Genomic DNA, 21,602 nt, shown 5'->3' with positions numbered 1-21,602 from the left:
GGGTCAGGAGTCCAGTAACAGCTTAGCTGTGTGCATTGCTTCAGGCCTTGGTCAGCCAGGGCCAAGTTCTCATCTGCTGGCTTGACTGGGGAAGGATTCACCTACCCACTTGTGTGGCTGCTGCAATATTAAGTTCCTTGTGGTTGGTGGACTGAGAACTTCTGTTTCTCACTGGCTAATGGTCTGAGGCCACCCTCAGCTTCTAGACATTTCCCACAGTTCCTTGTCATTCCTTGCCACATGGGCTTCTCAAACTTGACCACTTACTTCATCAAGCAGCAAGGAGAATCCCTAGAGCAAAGTGGCTAGCAATATATAGTATTATTTATCATCACATAATCACAGAAGTGACATCCCATCTCCTTTGCCACATTCTATGGGTTAGAAGAAAGTCACCTGTCCAGCCCACACTTAATAGGAGGGGATTATACAAGGGTGTGAACACCAAGAAAGGAGGAAAGGATTATGGAACAGCCACCCTAGAGTATATCCGCTATATTACCTATTAGATTTAGGACTGTGCCAAATACTTTTACATGTATTACCTCAGTTAATTGCTAAAACAACCTGTAAGGCAGGCATTATCCTCCTTGCACAGATAAGAACATGAGGCTCAGAGGAATGAGAACTTGCCCTAAGTTCTGCCAACATTAAGGTGGGGACCACCATATCATGGCATCAAGTGAACTTGTATGAGTGTACAGGCTGGAGGGCCAGCACCCTTATAGTAAGGAGCAAGGGCCCCAGGGAGGCAGGGAGAGGGCAGGAAGAGCAGGAGGGGGATAGCTCTCCGTGAGGGGTGAGACCAGGAGGAAAGGATTGGTATGGATTACATTTCAAGAATGAAGGAAACTGAGAGCACTTATATCTGAGGATCTCTATTTTCTCAATGAAGCAGAAAATGCGGGCGTCTCCTGAGAGGGAAGAGAAGCAGAGCCAAGTTGGAATAGCAGCTGTGGGGAATGCGGAACGGGAATTTTGCCAGCATGCCTACAAAGTTGTCAAGTGGAATAAGGCTGCTTCCTTCATGAAGACTGCAGCACAGGCTTGCTGGGTGGTCCCCAGTCCCTCCCCCATTACTTTCTGCATTCACTTTCATCATCTTGCTTTGCAGTGCTGCAATTTATGCCCAAGTCCATCTCTCCTGTCAGAAGGAAATTTTTTATAGGGCGGGAACTTAGCAGTAGTGCGTAATGTGCCTCCCTGTACCCAGCAAATGGCCTGGCACATGAAAATCCTCCACAAATGACCTGTTTGATTCCAGACCCTGAATTTCTAAATCACTGTATTACCTCTCATCCCCTAAAGGCTCATGCAGTTCTAAAAGACTGTTCAAAAATATGTATTTTTACTGTTCAGCGCAGTAGAGTAGAAAGTGTAGGTCCCTCTATCATGGAATAGGGGTCCTTAGAGGTGGAGTTAGGGAGATCTGTTGCATGTATAAACTGGTGACAAAAAAGCAGCTTTGCATTTTGGCCCAGTATTTTTGATGTCAAGAAGTCAGAAGAACCATTTCAAAATATTCCATTTCAATCTTTATTGATTGGTATGGAATGTTGCCTACAGTATATTCTTGCCTGAAAAATCTAGTTACCAGACAGACACTTACAGCACAATCCCATTTGTGTCAAATTATAGTCAAGTAGGAAAAAACCTAAGTCAAACCATGTCAGGGAAAAAATGAAATGTGTTGTTCATCTTCAATGAAAAGTTTAGGAGACTGTTCTGATGCCACAGGGATTCTAGCATCTCGGCCTCCTTCTTGGGCCCTATGAGATGGCAAATGGCTGTCCACATTCCCTGGACTGCGGTGTCCCCCAGGACTCCTTACACAGGTCCAGAGGTCCACCCTGATAGGACCAACTTGGGTCACATGCCCACCACTGAGCCAATGACTGTGGCCAAGGCGATCCTGCCCTCTTATCCAGCCTTGGTCACGAAAGGGAGTCAGAGTGCTATGAACAAGAGGAAGAGGAGTGGAGGCCACATATTATACATCTATCCACTGAAAAACGATTGATCTGGTTCCCCAGCCCCCTGCTTTTTTTTTTTTTTTTTGGTAAAATCTGCCCCTTGCCTCCTCCTGATTAGGGAACACCCCTGGGAGTTCACCCTGGCCCCACTGAGCGTATCTAAGTGTTGCTGGAAATCCTGGGTTCCCTCAGGCCTGTCTCAACTCAGATGCCATATGTTTCTCCTGGGGCCTCAAGTGTGAGCTTGAACTCTAGGCCTTCTAGCCCTGGCAGTCTTCCCAGTCCTGCCACTGCTTAGCAGAGTCAGACGTCATGTTCCTGAACCTGACACTGAGTAGGGTCCTCTCACCTGGATCACCACTCAGAACCACGGTGCTTCTACCTCCATGACTGCTGCTACTTTACACCTGGAGGCTCCCACCCAGTGGCCCAAGTCACACCTTTTGTTTACTGCTGACACTTCTCTCAAAGCCAGCCCTTCCCTCCCTTTCCCTCCCCTCCATTCCCCTCCTTTCCCTTCCCTTCCCCTCTCTTCCCTTCCCCTCCCTCCTCTCCTCCCTTCCCCTTCTTTCCCTTCCCGTCCTCTCCGTTCCCCTCCTCAGGATCAGTCTCTCCTCTACCAAGCCACTCCCTCCTCCACAAAGCATCAGTCACAGCTACTCTAATGCCACACATGAGACCAGGAACAGGAAATACGGTTGAATGGCATTTTGTTTTTTCAAACTGGATCCATCAGCTCTGCCTGACTCTTTTCCCTCTGCACCGGTTTCTAGCTGACATTCGGTACTTCTTCCTGGCATTACATTGTTTACGGTAGAGTTCAAGTTCCTCGAAGTACTTAGCTCTCAGGAGAGCCACTCTTTGCTCATAAGGGTGCTTCTCCAGGTCTGTCGCTGTTGACCACATCTTCCCTGTGGCCTTGGCCACCTGCACCACCGACCAGTTCGGGTTCTCCCTCTTCAGCTGAGCATAGTGGTCTTGGCAGAAGAGTAGGAAGGATGATGGAGGCCGTCTGGGTTCCTGGGGATCCCGCTTTCTCCGTTTCTTCCTCTTGCCAACATAATTCATCATTTCTTCCTGGTATCGGGCTTTGTCGAGTTTGGCCAGGGCTTCATATTTGGCCTTTTCATGCTTTGAGATGGATCTCCATTTTTCCGAACACTTTCTAGAGAACTCTTTAAAGCCAACATAGGTATTTGGCTGCTGCTCCTTGAATTTGTTTCTGTAATTCAGCAAAAAGTGAACGTAAGAAGAGACATTTGCCTTAGGCTTTAGCTGGATTTCTTTTCCCATGTTCGTAAGTTCACCTTTTTTCTGGATTCAGTAACGTGGACAGGAGAGACTGTTGTTCCCACACTCCAGGAGCAATCTAGAAAGTGCTGTACTTGCAGCGAATTTTTCTGTCTGCAAGAGCTGTAGTCAGGGCTCAGCCTTTTCAGTGCTGATGGCATTGTTGAGTCAGAGGAGGGAAACTGTGACATCATCCACAAGCCAGCCAATCCCAGCCAACACCTGTGGGCATTTGTGTACAGGTGCTCGTATTGGTTGGTTACTTGAGGGTCAATGTTTGCCTCTCATGAAAGATGATGGTTCATTCATAGTAGGCTATGAGGCAGCTATGTCCCCCAGAAATAATTCTCCTTGGCTTCCTGGAGGCAGTGGGTTTTGCTGCACTTTAGGGGCTTAAAATCCCTAGGCTGTAGTGACAGGCCATGGGGTCTGCCTTCCTCACTATACGATTTTCAGGATGCCTCATCATCCCTTCCAAAGACAGGCTGAGCATAATGAACATGGGGAGGTGGATAGATCCAGGGCTGTCATGATAAAATGTGAAGTGTTTCTGTTTGCCTTGAACAGTGGCAGCTCATGCCATACAAAGGGTTTAGTAGTAACTCTAAAAGTAATCAGGTATGACAGCTGTGACTTGGTTCCTGTCAGGACAAAGTTGTCTAATTTAAAACCTGAGCACTTGGGCTATGAGTTGGAACTCTTCATTTCTCTGAAGAAATGTGAGGCGAAAGAGGGGGGAGAACCTTGAGATTTTATTAATTAACACTGGAGTTCATGAAAATGAAATGGAATTTGTAGCACATCCAGAAGCCTCCCCACTCTCATGTGAGGGGTCCCCATTTCTTAGGTTTAGAACACAAAGCTGTAACAGCTACACTCAAACTGGCCGGCTTCTGGCTTTTGGTCAAAGTAATTGCAGATATTCCACTAGTCTTTCAATTGGAGGGAAGAGAAAAGATGAAAAAGTGTCATTCTGGGGGCCTTTGGACACTGCTAGGTACTTGCCTGTGTGGCACTGGGTTTAATATCACTTAATGGTTGATGATAGCCCCAAATTTATAGGACTAGAAAACTGAGTTTCATTAACATAAAAAGTAACATGTTCAAGGTTGAACAGCCACTCACAGGTGAGAGTGTGGATTTTGACGGCTGATTGCTTGACCTAAGCCTGTGCTTCATCCTGCCTGCACAGAGCTGTTGCCAGGGCACTGAGGGTCCAGATATGTGGTCTCAGCAGCTGAGCCGGACAAGGAAACTTGCCTAAGACTAGACCATATTTTGAATTTTTCCAGGTTCATTCCCAGGGTTCCAAGACTTCAGTGTTCATCTTCTGTAAAAGAAAGATGGAAACTAATAAGAGTCTCCAATCCTGAATTCTTGCCCAGCTCTGCTGCAAGGTGGCTGGCCTACCTAAGCCATCCCCTTCCTCCCTGTGAGCCAATGATCTCTCATAAATTGAGCATTCTGGACTGGCCAGGGAAGCCCCTCCAGGGGACAAGCTGTAGTTGTGTGGCAGGATTTGGGGGCCTATAAGATATCAGGTGCCATCAAGGAAGTCTGGGCTAGTAGGGGGTCTCGCAAAGGAACGGATTACTCTGGGGACACTTCTCAGCCTAGGTAGCCTTTTTCCCCCTGGCTCTTTCTCCCAAGGGGCCAGAGGTTGACTCACACATTTTTTGGACATGAGCAGGGCTGCCTAGATGAATGGGACACAGCTCCTTTCTGAGATCAAAAGATGGGACATGAGGAAGAACTTTAATGAAAGTCCACATATTCATCAGACTCTGCTCAGGCTCAGACACACACACACACACACACACACACACACACACACACACACACACACACACAGAGTAGCTTATCTGTGCCTCTTAACCTTCCATCCCTCTCATGATAAGATCCAGGAAGATTAACCCACAATAGCTATCGGGAAGCTAGCAGATTTAAGAAGAAAAGGCAGTAAAAGGGAAAAGCTATGTCAACCTTTTGGTGTTGTCAAAGTTCCAACTTGGAGGATGAAGCAGGGGAAGTCCTTGTTTAGGGGAGCTTAGGAAAGGTAAATAAATCTGGCTTCCTAAATCAATGCTGTGTGCTGGGTATCTAAGAGTTGCCCTTCCAGATCCCCTTTCCAGCCTTCTCCAACCTCTCTTCAACCTTCTCTGGCCTGGGAAGCTGGTCTGTATGAGCCACATCAGAGGATCCCATACCCTCTGGTTTCCATCTCACTTTGGTCAATGGGGCCCTCAGGAGATCAGAGATGGAGGAAAGTTAAGTCAAGGCATTTATTCTCCTGGATCCCCACCCCAGGGTCACTTGGAGCTGGTTCTGTGTCCCTGGACTGAAGGTCACTGGTCCTCATAAGGTGTCCTCTCTAAATGACTCTCTCCTTCCAGTACAGGCATTGCCCCCTTTCTTTATCTCCTCCTGCCTAGGGTGGTAAAACTCTACTTTTATGAGCCTCTGAGGTCTCTGCTACTTTCCCACACTCTGCCCTCACCAATCATTTTAATTTGAGTGGCCATCTGTTTCCTGCGGGGACCCTGACCAAAGTACCATGGTTTTAGCCTTTCACCATGTAGGCATCAGTTTAATAGAGAAGAGTAATGAGCTTCTGGAGATCCAAGTGCCTGGCAGTCACACAGCCTAGAGCAAGCATGCCTGCAAGGACAGTAGCATGACCAGACCACATGCCCGGGAAGAGGTGTCCAATATTCCCTAGATTATGAGATGACCTCCAGGCAGGAGCATTGGTCTAGAGGGCCAGGTAGTAAATATGATAGGCTTGGTGAACCACAGGGTTTCTGTTGCAGGTACCCAGCTCTGCCACTATACCTCGAAAGTAACCATAGAAAATACCTAAACCAATGAGTGTGGCTATGTTCCAATAAAACCTTATTTTTAAAAAATAGGCTGCAAGCTGGGGGTCGTAAATCTGCCAACTCCTCGTCTACAGATGTGAGTTCAGTATTTTCAAACATCTTGATTGCAGTCTGCAATAAGAAATACATTTTACATCATGACTCGTTTACATACATACATACTTAATATTTATATAATGCTTAATATGAGCCAGTCTCTCTTCTAAGCACTTTATGTACCTCATTCCATTCAGTCCTCATAACAAGCCTATGGGAGGGCTATTTTTATCTCCATACAAGGATAAGTGAATTCAGATGAAGGTAGCAAAGCACAGAGAAGATATAGAGATAAAAAATTTCTACTTGTGTGACATACTCTTATTTTCTACTCTGTTGTAGTCACCTTTACTTTATGTTGTTATTTAAAATGCCACCCACAGACTGACCTCATGACCCACTGATGGGTCACACTCCAAGAATGGATTTGAAAAACACTGTCCAGACAAGCTGAGAGGGAGCTTCCGCCTCGGAGACTGTGAGATCCTCTTTACTTGGTGGCAGTAACATGAAGTGGAAAGAACATGGCCTTTTAAGCCAGACACATATAAGTTCAAATTCTAGCTTTGCCATTTACTAGCTGAGTAACTTTGGGCAAGTCTAGCTCATTACAACCATATCTCTAAAAAGTAGTGAGGTGATAATAAAGCCATGAGGATTAAACAAATTGAAATGATAGGAATAAAAACAGATGGCACTCCCCCTCTCCAGTGTGGGCTGGACTTAGCCACCCACTACTAATGAATAGAACATGGAAAGGGACAAATAGTAACTTTACAGCGGGGAAATCTGGCAGACACCACTTTAACCAAGTGATCGAAGTAAGCATCATCAATAACAGGTCATGTTGAGATCACAGAACCCCTTTCTGTGTTGCCATAATAACAGCATCTCACCGCCATGATATTCTTCCCAAAAATCCATAGCCAAGGTCTATGAAAAAACATTAGACAAACTGAAATAAAGAACATTCTACCAAATACCTGATCAGTACCCTTCAATAATGTCAAGATTTTAAAAAACCAGGGCAAGGCTAAGAAACTGATGCAGATTGGAAGAAACCAAGAAGACAGGACAAATGCAATGAGAGATGCTAGACTGAATCCTGTGACAGACAAAAAGTGGGCCACTGGTGGAAATCTGGGGAAATCTGAATAAAATGTTTCATTTAGTTAATAGTACTGTACCATTGCTGATTTCTTAGTTTTTATGCATGACCCAGGGTTATGTAAGATGCCAACATTAGGGAATCGGGGTGAAGGGTATACAGGACATTTCTGTATGATCTTTGCACTCTTATTTCAAAATAACATTTTTTTAAAGAAAAATCTTTCCAGTTGATAGCAATGTGCAGCCAGGGTAAAGACACCCTGCTCTTGATCCATCATCTCCAGGAATCACAGGGCCAGATTTTACCCTCAATTACAGCAGCATATGCTCTTAGCATATCTCTGTCAAAGTATCTCTCAGATTTTGCAGCATGATGGAATCACCTAAGCTTTCCAAAACCCTCAGTGCTCAGGCCACAGCAACAACAGCAAACATACCTGGCATAAGCATGTGTATGTCAAATGCTTTGAAACTTCCTTCATCCCCCTCCTGCCCCTTCCTCTGTGGAGTGGGACTCACTGGTTGCATTTACCCTCTGAACAAGGCATCTGCAAGTGGCAGAAGAATGCCTCTCCAAAGATGCTGGCGTCCTAAGCCCTGAAACCTGTGAATTTGTTCCTTACTTGGTAAAAGGGACTTTGTAGATAAGATTACTCTAAGGATTTAGAGCTAGGGAGATGATCCTGGATTATCAGGTGGGCCTGATAGAATCACATGGCCTTTGTAAGAGGAAGGCAGGAGTGTCACAGTCAGAGGAGATGTGATGAGAGAAGCAGAGGATCAGAGGTGGAGAGAGATTTGAAGATGCTACACTGCTGATATTGAAGACAAGGGAAAGAGGCCACAAGCCAAGAAATGCAGGTGGCTACTAGCAGCTGGAAAAGGCAAGCAAAAGGATTGTCCCCTAGTGCCACCAGAGGGGCTCAGTCCTCCCCACACCTTGATCTTGGCCTGCTGAAACCCATTTTGGATTCTAACCTCCAGAATTATAACACAATAAATTTGTGTTCTTTAAGCCCTTAAATGTACAGTTATTTGTTAAGGCAGCAATAGGAAACTAGCACAGTATCTTTCTCCTCTGGCTGCTGGTCTGTAACTTTTCTTCTGCCATTCTTAACCCCTGCTTGTGTTAATGAAGAAGACACATTTGAGGGTGAAAGTTTTATACCACGGCATATTCAATTTGTTGAGGGAAAAGAACATGATATATTCAATCCTGCACACTCTTCTTCACTCGCTGACTCATTAAGTCACTAATTCACTAATTCACTTAGCAGTTAATTCACTCTTACGTTCTTTCAGTTCATTCACTCACTCATGTACTCACACACCCATCTCAATAAATAGCTGTTGAGTTGCTGGAGCAGTGTGGCTGCTGCTTTGATGGCCAGTGATGAACAGTGTTTGAGGGATGGATGTGTCCCAGGAAGGAGGGTGGTAGTCCAGGGAATCATCTGAATTCACTTGGATCGCTACATAGTAAGAAACCAGATAGGGAGGCCAGGCCATAAGCAGTCAGTCCAAGGCTCTTTGGCACTGACCTCGTGCCAGGAACTGTTAATCAATCAGATGTGAGCACAATATTTTAATAAAAATGATGATCATACTTTGGGTACATCATCTCTGGAAGCCTGGAAGCGTGAAAAGAGAGATTAATTTATCCAAGGCCACACAGCAATAAGTGGCAGAGCCAGGCTTCGAACTCAAGCTTGTTTGACCCCTTGGCTCATATGTTTAGCCTCTACTGGTAGTCTAGGAACTCCCTTGGCTGGGGCTAGGGTAAGGAAGCAACTGGGAAGGAACAAGGCCAAGTATTGCAGGAGGAGGGAAGAAGGAAGGAGAAAAAGTTATCTAAATTTCAACGTTTAAAAGATTCAGGTGAGTCTTTTCTAATCTGGGTTGATCCTCATTCTGGATAGATCTAGTCAACTTATCTCTAGGTCATGGGATGTTCTAAGTCCAGGAGGTCAACTGACTTGGATGACCCATAGAACTTCACCAGCATCTGAAGATAAGCACGGAGCCTGCATCTACTCCCAAGGGCAGAGGCTTGCCAAAGCCAGGCGAAGTGTCAGCACCCAGCCCAATGGACTAGTGGGCAGGTGGGCAGGCAGTGGTCAGATGATTAGACACAGAATGGGATCAGCCTGGTTGGGGGATGCCTGGCTACCTATGAAAGGATACAGGACAGATCTAGAACAAGACCAACTCTGGGTTGATAACTCACACAGTGATCTATGGATACTCCTCACAGGTCTTTAAAAACCTACTCCTTTATAGCATAGGAGAGTGGCCCTGATTATTCAGTCCACCTACTTCTCTTTCATCCACAGTAGACATCTTTTGTTTTGTCTGCCTAGCACTCCTCACTTCTTTTGAGCACATTCCTTCTTTTGGAGAATTGTCCCCAAACTAGTCATGGGGTTCTAGTGGAGGCTACCTCCTTGGCCCCAGGAATGGGTACATTCCCCAGCTAAACTAATCAGAGGCCTCTGATGGGCTTTTTCTAATTAGAGTCACGGAGAGAGATTGTCATCTCTCTAGTGGTGAAGGTGAGAGAGTGAATCACAGAGCTACTAAGGGTGGTCATGGCTCCAGCCTCAAGCAGCCGCCATTTGCAGTAGAGAGAATGATGCCAGCAGGCAGAGCACAACAGAGATGGGGCACCGAGAGAGGGCCTTTGTAGCATCTGAGTTCTTGGTTCTGGCCATCCCTGGGGCCAGCTACAACTCTACTCTTCCTATGGTTTAGCTACAATCCATAGCAGCCAATCATTTCTTCTGTAGGTGGATGTGATCTGGATTTCTCCCATCTGAAAGCCAAAGTATAAGGCATTAATCCAGGTGGACGGCAGCAAGCAATACAAGAAGAGAGGAATTCTCCTCTCCCCCATTTTTGATGCTTTTTGGGCACATGCTATGTGCCAGGCACCTTTTATATGCATCACCTCACTTAAACCTTTTAACCACTCAATGAAGTGGGTGCTGTTATTATCCTTACTATATAGATGGGGAAACTGAGGCCTAAAGCAGGTCAGTTACTTGCCCAAAGTGAGACAGTAAGTTTAGAGCTGATGATACTTGAACCCAGGCAGTCTTCTTCTAGGGCCTGCGTGCTAAGTCTCTACCCCAAATTAGTTTCTACTCAGTAAATATTATTCCCTTTGCCTACGAGTCTACCTTGCTGTACAGAGATATGGCAGGGCCAAGAATTGTAGATGTCGTGTCTTGAGGCCTTAGAGGGAACTTTGTGAGCGTCACTCACAATCGCACTATGAGATATAAACTGGGGAAAGAAGGGCTCAGAGAAGTGAAGCCACCTCTCCAAGGTCACATGGCCAGCAGACAATGAAGGCAGGATTAGAACTCAGCTCCATGGGACTCTAGGACCACTTGCTCACTAGCCTTAGTGTGTGTGAGATGTTTAGCCCACCCATCCTCCAGCTGTTGGGCAGCTCACTCATTCTTCTGGACATCAGAGCTGCTGATCTCTGGCAGGGACCACTAGCTGCCTCCTAACAGGGGAAGGGACATACATGATGCTCAAACTCAGAGTGGCAGTTAAGTGGCAGGCACACACTGATGTGGGCAGCTCCTCAAGAAGCCATTTACAACAGTCCCTCTGGGTGAGAAATAGTACTAATTACAAGCAGCGGAGGCTTCTGCAAGGCAAGCGGTGCCACCCTCTATGGCAGGAAGCAGGTTCCTTCTCCAAGTCATGTCTGCCAGTGACAGGTGGAAAGTGGGCAAGGCTGGGAAAGCAGGAGCCAGTGGAGGCCAGGCTGGGGTTCCCCAGAGAAAGAGGGAAGTTGATGGCCAGGTGTACTGGCTGGTCTGGGTACCACAGAGTGCCCTGTCCTTCTACCCCTGCACTGCTCTATCACCAGAGTAGATGCAGGTGCCTCATTTCCCTGGAGAAAACTAAGCCAGGCTGCTCTGCGGTCTACTCTGAAGGGTTGGGTTCAAGGCATTGGTAAGATCCCACCACCTCTTCTCAAACCCCAGCAAGGCAGGGGGAAAATAGTTCACATTTGTGAGGCACCTACTGTATGCCAGGCACAGACTTGGACACATTATACACATGAGCACTGCTGCTCAGAGGAATCCCATTGCACAGATGAGGAAACTGAGGCTCAGAGAAGTTACGTTGCATGCCCATGTTCACACAACTAGGAAACAGTAGAACGCAGATTCAAATATAGCACTGTCTGGTTCCGAAGGCCTGGCCCTTAACCCTTAACCTTTTTAAACCTATTGCTTCTGTGAGGAACAAGACAGGTGATGAGCCAGATAGGTGTCATCTTTACTTAGGCAGAGACTCCAGTCAGGAAGAAGAAGAGGGTTGAGTAGAGTTGAGTGTGAATATGCTGTAGTCACCACGCTCTTGAGGCCTGCACCCTGTTTCTGGGCCAAGCCTGATGGGGATAGGCTTTAACATCCTAGAGCATGGAGGCTGCCAGTCCTCAGGACTGCCTTCCCGGATCTCAGATCTGACATATAATAGAGACTTGGGCTGGGGACAGGGGACAGCCAGCTAAAGCCTCAGCAGCTGGTCAGAGTGGAGACTGCTCTTAGATTCTGTCCAGTCAGACTGACTCCTGGAGGATAAATGTACAAGGTTCAGGACATCATATAAAAGTAATAAGGGCAAGTTGGGGAGGCAGCAACAGAAGTGGAAGAAATGATGCTAGGACACCATTTCCCAAATCTCCCCTGGGAAAGCCAAGCCTGTGGGGTCTTCTCCTCATTAAAGTGAGTACTCAGCCCTTCTCTCCATCCAAACCTCAAATGGGGGCCATAGGGACCTACCTTCCTGATAGAAGTTCCATCAGCTCATTGGCCCAGCTTGGGACACATGACCACCAGGATCCAATCAGCTGTAGCCTATGGGTCATATGATGTACATGGCTACCCCTGTCAGGAGCTGTGGGTTGAGGGAAGGAGACTGATCTTCAAAGGCTTCTGGTCTTCATAAGAGAGTAGAACTGCCTGATTTAGACCTGGAGACAGTAAAGGACGGAGTGGGCAACTCAGAAAAGCAGCTGGGGATCCACCCACAAGCCTCTTCACCCAGAGCTTGGCATCAGCACCAGTTCTGATCTTCAGACCCAACCCTGTTCTGTCACTTCAGCACGATGGGAAGATCCTCTCTATAGAGGCAGGAAACACCTTACCCATCAGCTCTGCCAGCTGAGCAGCTGAGCTAGCAATGGAAGGAAACTGACACACCAAGCCACCCCTAGACCTTCGCAATATGCCACCACCCCATACACAAGACCCAGCGTGTTGGTGAGGAAGCCCTCATCCCGGCAACAGCCAGGCTCCCTGTTCCTCAGCACTCCAAGCCTCAGACATGTGTCCTCCAGAGAGCCGTGCATCTGGAGGAAAAACATTTACCTGATGTGGTTTCTGTGGGTTCCCTGGAGCTAACAATTAGCTGAGCAAGAAAGAGTTCTGATAATTTGTTGAGTTTATTGAGTTGCTTCTGGGGAAAGGGGAACATTTGCCCACATTGATTAGCAGACCTCACTGTTGCTGCTTTGGGGATAGGTCAGCATGAGAAGAATCCCCAGGAAGGTACCAGCAGCTGCTAAGTGAAGCAGGTAGTGGGGCACAGCCAGAGCTGAGGAACTAGGACTGGGGAAGCATGTCTTGACAGGAGTGGGCAGTGCCATGGGAAACCCGGGTGAAGCCCGCGTGGCACTGGAGGCCCTCCCTCCTATTCCCTGGCTCACCTGCTCACTGCCTCTTTCTCTGCTTTTCCCCACATGTAACCTCTGCTTTCACCAGCAGGCTCTCATTCATTCATTCATTCGGCCAATCATCCCTTCTTCCACTGAGTGATATTTACTGAGCCCTTTCTTTATGTCAAGCACTCTCCAAGGTACCAAAGAAAGAAACAGCTCCTGTCTTCAGGGAGCTCATAGTTCAGCAATGCATGGTGAGAGAAGCACTATGGTGGAGAAAGTGCAGGGTGCCCAGAGGGGACAAAGGAGAAGTAAACCAGACCTAGCAACAAAGGACAGGTTTCCTGAGCCAGGGGCTGATACACCTGCACGATGAGTAGGAAGTAGCTAAGAAAAGAATGGGGATGGATCAAGATTGGGAGAGAGAATTTGGCAAGAAGGTAAATTCTTAATTGTTGGGAACATTCAAAATAGATCATAATTGACCGTTTTTCAAGAATGCTGTGGTTGAGACTCAAATATAGCTGGGCATTAGACCTAGAAGACCTTTGAAGTCCTTCTCAAATCTCAGATTTTAAGGTTAGCTGGTTCCCACTCTCCTGATAGCAGAGGGGATGTAATTCGATATCCCACCACTGAAAGTAAGCTACTGCTGTTTGTTCATTTATTCATTCATTCACAAACATGTCCAATAAAAGTGTTCTTAACCCACCCTGCCTCCCCCAAAGAAGCCAGCTGGACTACCCAGCACTCCCATGGCCTCAGTAGATCTTCCTGACTGGTGCCCATGGCACCCCCAGCAACTGCTGCCAACAGGCAGTCTCCCACCCCCACCCTCAATGCCTGTGCACTTCTGCTCCTATCAGCTGAGTCTTGCACTTTCCGAGATTCAGTTGGGTTTGTTGCCAAGTCTCTCAGTGCCAGTCATACTTGTTATTGTAATTATGTGATTTAAATTAAACATCACATAAACTGATGAAATATGAGTGTGAAAGGAAATATAGTTGCATCTATGGAAACTAAATTGAATGCTTTGGAATGATTCCATGAAGGAGAGTCTCTTAAAAGAATTGCTTACTAAATATTAGGTGTGAGTGAATGAGACAACTGTACCCCACTGGGTAAATTACATGAGGGGAGGGGGATGGGACAAAGCATCCTTATCACCTTGATGAGAATGGATGTCAATTTCTGGCACATAGTAGGTGCTCAAGAAATATTTGTTGGCTGGACGATCTGTAGCAACATTTGAAATGGTGAATGATGCATTGTGGTTGTAGTTTATATAAGACAGACAATGTGGAGAACAAACCCATGATCAAAGGGAAGGCCTTGGTCCTGCATTAAACTGATTGGCAAATAAATGTATGCTTAAGTGTTTTACATTATAATGAAATGTTGAAGCTACATCTGTGTCCTTTTTTATGATTCCCTACTTAGAAATTAAATTTTTATTTACCAACCAACTACATCATCTGTGAGGCTTCTATGGTAGGAATTAGCAAACTTTTTTTTCTGTAAGAAGCCAGAAAATAAATATTTTGGGCTTTGCAAGTCATCATCTTGCACAACTCCTTAACTCTGTCATTGCAATGTGGAAGCAGCCACAGACAATTTGTAAATGAATGAATGGGCATGGTTGCAATCTGGTAAAACCATATTTACAAAGACAGGCAGCAAGCTATAGTTTGCCAACCCCTGTTCTATGAAATGTATTTGTTCTGTGTGCCAGGCACTGTGCTGTGCACCAGAGATACTGAGACAAAAAGAAGATTTTATTCCAGCTCCCATGGAGCTTGCCTGCTAGTTGAAGAGATGGTCAACTCAAAAGATGAGTACAATTTGGTATGCCCAGGATCATGGCAGGGCCATGTCCACTGGGGGCAGGGAGAGGGAGAGATAGAGGAAAGGAAATATTTAGTTAGGTTTATAGGATCAGTGATATTTTCCCAAGTAGCCAGGTGGGGCAACAGGAAAAGGGCATTACAGGTAGAGGGAATAGCATGTGCAAAGGTCTGGAGACACGAAAGTACTAGTCGCATTCCAGGATGTACAAGCCATTCTGTGTAGCTGGATCTCAAAGTGTGTGTCATTGAAGAGGAAAGACATTAAAAAGCTTGGACTTTATTCTGGAGCCAGTGGGTTCAACCATTGCTGCTGGCTTTCCAGCAATGCAGGGATTTGATCAAAATTCCCCACAAAGTATGGAAGATCGATCAGAGGCAGAGGGCAAATCAGAAGCCCATCTCTGTAGTCCAGGTGAGAAACGATGAGGACATGAAATGGAGAAGACTTGGCCACAATTGGCGATAGGGGTGAAGGAGAGTGGGGAGTTGAGGATGCTGCCTGGGTTGGGTGACCAGGAGGATGGTGTAGATTAGGGGGAGCAGTTGCACTAAGGAGCAGAAACGACTGGGGGAAAGCTTTGGTTTGTTCAGAGCATAGTAACCAACCCCAAACACATACTAGGTAGCCGGGAATTGAATCTTTAAAGGCTGGCTCAGATCTTTCAGAGCTGTCCACACAACCAGGGTGGGCAGGCACTGCTGGTAAAAAAAAAAGCCTTGGGAGGCTGAGGGGCCTCTTTTCAAAGATAAGGCCCAGCAACTCATATTCAAAAGAAACTTCCATTTGTCCCAGGCATTCACTCAGTTCCTGGAAAATATATAACATCATGGGATTGTCTTGGGGAAAGAATTTATCTTGACATAGCAAGTCCTAGGAGTTTAGCTAAAGGAAAACTGATTTTGGAAAGCATTTTGATAAGAATGGGTGTCAAGGCTGAGTCATTAAAGGTTTGCTTCAGGAATGAGAGGTGGCTTAGGTTTGGCAGAGGAGGGATCAGCCTCAAACAAGGGCCTTGGGACTATTTGCCCACCACTGACAAAGACATTTTCAAAAGGGTTTCTCTGATTGTATCCTGGTGTCCTCTCCATTCATCAGGGAGGAAAGCAGGTGACAGGTGGGAAGGGAAGAGGGCTTGGGAGTGGGGATAAGGTGGTGAGGACCTCCTATATTTCACATTCTCCTAGGCCAGCCTTGGGGATGGGGAGGGATGGTTTATACTTAGTACTGGGATGCAGAAGTGCTTCAACTCTGAATCAGACCAGGGCCATGCACATAGCTTACTTAACAGATAATGCCCACAGGAGATGCTCTGGGAGGACAGAAGCCAGATGCTATTGATGGAGAAGGAATGGAGGCTGAACAGAAAAGAAGGCATTGCAGCTGAATCGTGTACATTACAGGCTTTTCAGGGACTCCCTATATCTAGGGAACCACAGTGGGAGTGGCCCTCACTTGCGAGCACAGTGCCTTTTACAAAATATGTGCTTGGTGATTGCGTGAATGAATGTTCTCCTGAAGATGTCAGTTTTCAGGGATGCTAAGATTTAAACTAAGATCTCCTAACACTCCTCCCCCTCGACTTACAATTAGGCAGCAATTCCTTGCACAGTCACTGTTGTCATCTTGATGGGGGTATCTCTCAGCTCCCCAACATCCCGACTGCATGAGAAGCTTCTTAAGAAGAAATGCTTCCCACAAAATCTGCTCTGAGCTCTTCTTCATGAAGGGAATGGCTCAGAGCTTTCTGCAGAGGAGCTCAAAGCCACTTTTCTATAATCAACTACATGCATTACAGGGAGTGATTTTTTTTTAATTCTTCCCAAGCCAGATTCCATTAATGAAGCCCCACTTAACAGAAGTCAATTTACCAAAAAGAAAAAAAAAATTGAGTGTAATTGCTTAAATACATTTTATGTTGTACTGCAATAGCAATTTTCTGGGTGAACTTGGAATTCCCCAAGCCCCCCGTAGTGAAGTTAATGTGGACAGAAAGGTTTGAAAGGGAGAATCTCTCTTTGTGTTTCTCTCCTTTAATTATGATTCTAAGAGGGAGCAAAATTAAAGAGGATCCTGGGGGAAGTCAGGAGGGGGGAGAAGAGGAACAGAATGGAATTCAGCCTAAATGATTCCACTGCCTTCCTTCATGCTTGCATGTACATGTGAGTGTAATGCAGTGGCTGAATGCATAGGCTCTGGATGGGATGGCTGGATTTAAATCCCACCTCTGCCACTTAATAGCTGTGTGACCATGAACAAGTTTCTTTACCTCTCTGTGCAGCCAGGTGGTACAGTGAGAAAAGGCATAAAGAGCATCAAGGGCAAAGACAGAGAAGCACAAAAGAACAACGTGTATTCCTGAATACATGAACTCTTCTGTTTGACGGGAGAACTGTGTGTGTGTGTGTGTGCGTGCACACTCAGGGTGAAAGGCAGGCAGGAGTCAAACCGGGAAGGCTTCACTGAGAAGGTGACATTTGTTCAAAGCCTTGGAGGAAGCGAGGGGCTAAGCCAGGTGGAGTTCTGGGAGAAGTGCCAGTGTAGCAGGCAGAAGGGATGTCAACTGCAAAGACCCTGAGGCAGGAGCAGGCCTGGCCAGTTTTGAACAGTGAGGAGATATCTGTGGCTGGGGCATAAAGGGTAAAGAGGAGGAGGCAGGAAAAGGAAAGGAAGAGTGGCTTTTTCAAGGCCTTATAGGCTATAATAAGGTCTTTTACCCTGAGGATTGGATCCATTGAAGGTTCGTTTTGTTTTGATTTGTTTTTCACTAACTCTATTATAATATAGTTTACATAAAATAAAATTACCATTTATTTTATTTACCTATTTACTTATATTTTGGAGATGCTATCCAAAATATAAGTAAATAGGTAAATAAAATGGGGTCTCACTGTCTTGCCCAGGCTGGTCTCCAACTGCTAGGCTCAAGCAATCCTCCCCGCTTGGCCTCTCAAAACCCTGGGAATACAGGCGTGAGCCACTGTGACTGGCTGTAAATTACCTATTTTAAATGTACAGTTCCTTGGAGTTTGCCCAATGTGTACATCTCATCTAATCAACATCTCATTTGAGATGTAAGACATTTCCATCACCCCCAAATGTTCCTTGCACTATTTCCCAGCCAGGCAGTCCCCAACCTTTATCTCTCACCCCCAGCTCTGACAACCACTAATCTGCTTTCTCTCACTAAACTCTTTTGCAGAGTTTCATATGAATGAGTCACTCAGTATATACTCTCAGTATATCCTCTTTGATGGCCCAACATAATGCTTTTAAGAGTCATCCATGTTGCAGGTATTGGTAGCTGGTTCCTTTCATTGGAGAGTTTCGAGCAAGGCATGACACCATCTCAATGGCAGAGTCTGATGTGATGATTCTGCCATGTAAGCCCCCAATTCTTTGATAGATGCCAAGAAAACTCTCAACTGCCCAACATTTGTGTCCAGGGAGGTAGGAGCAGAACAGAGTAAAGCTGCATGGGCAACACAGGGCCCTGAGAGTTTAAGCCTCGGAAATTAACAGTTAACAGGATTTCTAGGAGTGGGTAAATGTGTGGGAGAAATGGGAGGTGGGAGATGCCCCTTAGGGCTTCTCCTGATCTCACAGGCCGGGGAAGTCTCACTGACTTCCTGCTGCAATCTTGATCATTAATCTCATCCTGCTCTTGAGACCTCAGCACCCTCCCCTCATTCCATTTTGCAATAAAGAGCTTTTGGTCCTGAATTATTCAGGTAGATTCTCCCTACTTCTACTTCCCTTATATAAATAGCCTCCAAGCTTTGTCATTGAGATAGAATTGAATTTGGCCTGGAGAAAAAAAAAAAAAAACCCACAATACGTTTGTGGCTCCTTAGAAAACTTAAATGACTCAGTCTGTAATAAACTATTTTAAATGGGATCTGGTGAAATACAGTAATTGGTTTTTATAATAGTTTTTACCATAGCGGTATGGGTTATATTCCTGAAGTTTGGTGTGTGTCAGCATTTTCATTTAGTAAGAATTCAGTTTTGCAGTGCGTGAAGCTCCTTGGTTAGTTCTTTTGTTTAATGCATATTTATGAAGACCCACTATGCTGGATGTCTTCCATTTGCACCTCCAGATCCTCTCCCTTGCCTTCTCCTTGCTCCATGCCTGAGAATACTTACCTAAGGGGCTGCATCAGTATGCTCTCTTGCTCTCTGGCTTCCAGTTGGGCTAGATCAACAGGAGAATCAGTGGGAGACTGGAGGAGGGGAAGGAAGAGAGTGAGTTCTGCGTATTCATTCTTTGCCTCCTCTTGATGGGCTTTTCACAAATTGGCTATAGCCCCAGATTGTGAAAGAAGATCTGGGTCCTATATGGTGTCTTCTTACATGCAGCCCCCTGTTTGGAGATAACTATTTTCTCTCTGCTCCAGGATTGGGAGTGGTAACAAGTCCCTCAGTTGCCAGCCCCAGGATACTGCCCCTCCCGGGTGGTTCCCCCATAGTCGGCCCTCACCTTTATAGTTCCAAGAGTTTGATGAATGACTGTTTCACATAGGATATAAGGACCTATGTGAAAGAGTATAGAGAAAGGGTATAAGGACCTATGCAAAAGAGTCACTCATCAAACTCCTGGGACTCTTCTTACATGACTGTGACACCTGTTTTCTGCTGGAACCCTGAAATGCCTACTTTGTGTCCAGTATGGTGTTAGAAGCTGGAAATCAAGATGAAGAATGGAACAGCAGCTGCCGTTACTGACAGCTTGTTATTGCCAGGGACTGTGCTGAGATCTTCTTTTGTGTATTATCTCATTTAATCCTTGCAAGCTTTTGAGGGAGGGGTCATCATGATCCCCATGTTTTAGATAAGGTCACTAAGTCTCAGAGGGTTTCTGTAGTTTTCCTGAGCTCACACAGCTGATCCCTCCAGAGCTCAAGTTTCTTCACTACTAGGCCACATTGCCCCCTTTGAGGAGTTATCTTAAGGAAACCACACACTTCTATAACTGAATTATAATTTGAATAAAATGTTGTGGCATCACAGAGGAAGACAAAGGAAAATTATATTTATTAAGCTAACATGTGCCAGATACTGACCTCGATTCTTTGTGCGTAAGATTTCTTACTTATTCCTACAAACTCTTAGGGCTGGTATTACTCCTGTTCTCCAAAAGGTTAAGTAACAGGTCCAAGGTCACACTGGTGAAACCTGGATAAGAACCCAAATCTGTGCTTCAAAGCCAAGGAGAGTAGGGAATGCTTTACTGCAGATGTGATACTTAAGGGGCTTCCCAAAGTCATCTTGGGGGACATGGATGGGCAGGAGAAAGCGTTACAGGTGAATATATTCCAAGCAGAAAAGGCAAAGAACTAGAAAAAAGAAAAAGGATGGAATGCTTAGGGAATTTAAGCAGGAGGTGCTGTGGTCTGAAGGATCAGTTGCCTCCTCCCAGCAGCTGAGGGAAACCCAGCAGTGGGATGAGACCCTGGAGGAGCCATCTCAAGCTGCTCAGGCCTAGGGTACTGGAGGGGCCTGGGGCAACACCGCCTTCCCTTCCTGCTCCAGAGCTGGGCTGAGGCCTTGGCACTCAAGGGAAGTGGAGGAACTCCTGAATGCTCATACACCTATACCACTCAGCTCTGGTCCCTGAGCCCATCTGCTTCCTGTTCCCACAGGTTCACCGGAGCCAGCCTCCCAGCCCCCGTTATCAGCAGCAAGAACTGGCTGCGACTGCACTTCACATCGGATGGCAACCACCGGCAGCGCGGATTCAGTGCCCAATACCAAGGTAGGCAGGTCCCAGGACTGTCTGGCTTCCTCAGTGGGCAGCAGAGATGACACCTGGAGGGCTCATCACCTCTCCCTACTGGGTCCGGTGTGGCTTCAGGCATCCTTGCCTTCTTTGTACGTTTCTATTTGCAGACCAGAGGTCTGCAGATTTGCATCTCTGCATCTGCCCTTGTCTTTTGCCCCAGAGAGGGATGTTTCCCAAATTATGTAGCTGGAGCTGCCCCTCACATGCCAGGCTAATCATAATAGTTAATACCAGATGCCTGCTAAGAGCCAGGCACAGTGCTAGGCACTTGGCAAGTAGCATCTCCTTTAATCTTCATCATTATCCTGCAAAGGAAACACGGTCATCACCTCACTTTATGGACAAGGAAGCTAAGGCCCAGAGAGGTTAAGCCAATTTCCCAAGGCCATCTGAACTCCTGCCTTTTGAGTCTGGAGCCCACCCTCTTAACCACCAGCCTTTGCTGACCTCTGCAGCCTACATTTCTACTCTTTTTCATTTTATCTAAAACATGAATATATTCCAAAATCACTTTAGGGAGCATGATAGCTTTGATGCTCAAATCTGTGAAGAACTGTCTAGTGGCAACAGATCAGACCAGGAATGGCAGGTGGAGATCGCAGCTAAGCAGATTTCTGCTGCAATAATGAAGAATTTCCCAACCCAAGAACCACCTATAAAAAGGAGTGGGTTAACCCAGAAGCAAGGAGCTGTCTGTAACTGGAAGAGATCCAAAAATCCAGCTGATAGATGGGAGCGGATGAGCACATTCCTTTTCGACATTGCGTTTATTCAAAGTACTCAAAATTTATAGAGATAAACACCAAGGGTTGGCCTCATAACATGCTCATTAAGCCTTTAGCTATTACCACTCTCAAATTGTTATTGGTTTTAATAGAATAGACAGCAAGCTTATATTGTGTACCTATTAAGTATAAGGACCTGTGTGAAGCCCTGGGCTCCAAGGCCAAATGCCTGCTGGCTCACCCTCAAGGTAGCATAGGGCAGAGTAGTGCCCCCTC

The 21,602-nt window shown here is 46.1% G+C and overlaps 2 protein-coding genes across 15 annotated transcripts in view; one reads left to right on the top strand and one right to left on the bottom strand.

Moving 5' to 3' along the window:
* The window catches only part of CSMD2 (CUB and Sushi multiple domains 2), a 651,845-nt gene that overhangs the window by 298,385 nt on the left and 331,858 nt on the right, over window positions 1-21,602 (top strand). For all 12 annotated transcript variants that reach the window (XM_047443685.1, XM_047443656.1, NM_052896.5 and 9 more), the window contains exon 6: window positions 20,462-20,574. In XM_047443685.1, the coding sequence (XP_047299641.1) occupies window positions 20,462-20,574 (113 nt within the window). The remainder of the gene's footprint in view (window positions 1-20,461; window positions 20,575-21,602) is intronic.
* On the bottom strand, window positions 2,667-6,983 carry HMGB4 (high mobility group box 4). 3 transcript variants are annotated; one of them, NM_145205.6, is made up of 2 exons: window positions 6,568-6,983; window positions 2,667-4,593 (listed from the first exon to the last, which is right to left on the bottom strand). In NM_145205.6, exon 2 carries the CDS (start codon window positions 3,264-3,266, stop codon window positions 2,706-2,708), a length of 561 nt encoding a protein of 186 aa, NP_660206.2. In that variant the 5' UTR covers window positions 3,267-4,593; window positions 6,568-6,983; the 3' UTR covers window positions 2,667-2,705. The 3 variants fall into 3 exon arrangements, with proteins under 3 accessions (NP_660206.2, NP_001339913.1, NP_001366230.1); NM_001352984.2 differs by lacking the exon at window positions 6,568-6,983 and having other exon boundaries at window positions 2,667-3,195; window positions 3,281-3,379; NM_001379301.1 differs by lacking the exon at window positions 6,568-6,983 and having other exon boundaries at window positions 2,667-3,379.

This window comes from Homo sapiens, chromosome 1, assembly GCF_000001405.40.
Source record: "Homo sapiens chromosome 1, GRCh38.p14 Primary Assembly".
Lineage (NCBI taxonomy): Eukaryota > Metazoa > Chordata > Mammalia > Primates > Hominidae > Homo > Homo sapiens.
Note: the sequence above shows the minus strand (reverse complement) of the source record. Positions and strands in the feature narration are given on the sequence as shown.

Excerpts from the sequence above, each read along its gene's own strand:
- HMGB4 (NM_145205.6), bottom strand. The coding sequence starts at position 3,266 with ATGGGAAAAGAAATCCAGCTAAAGCCTAAGGCAAATGTCTCTTCTTAC.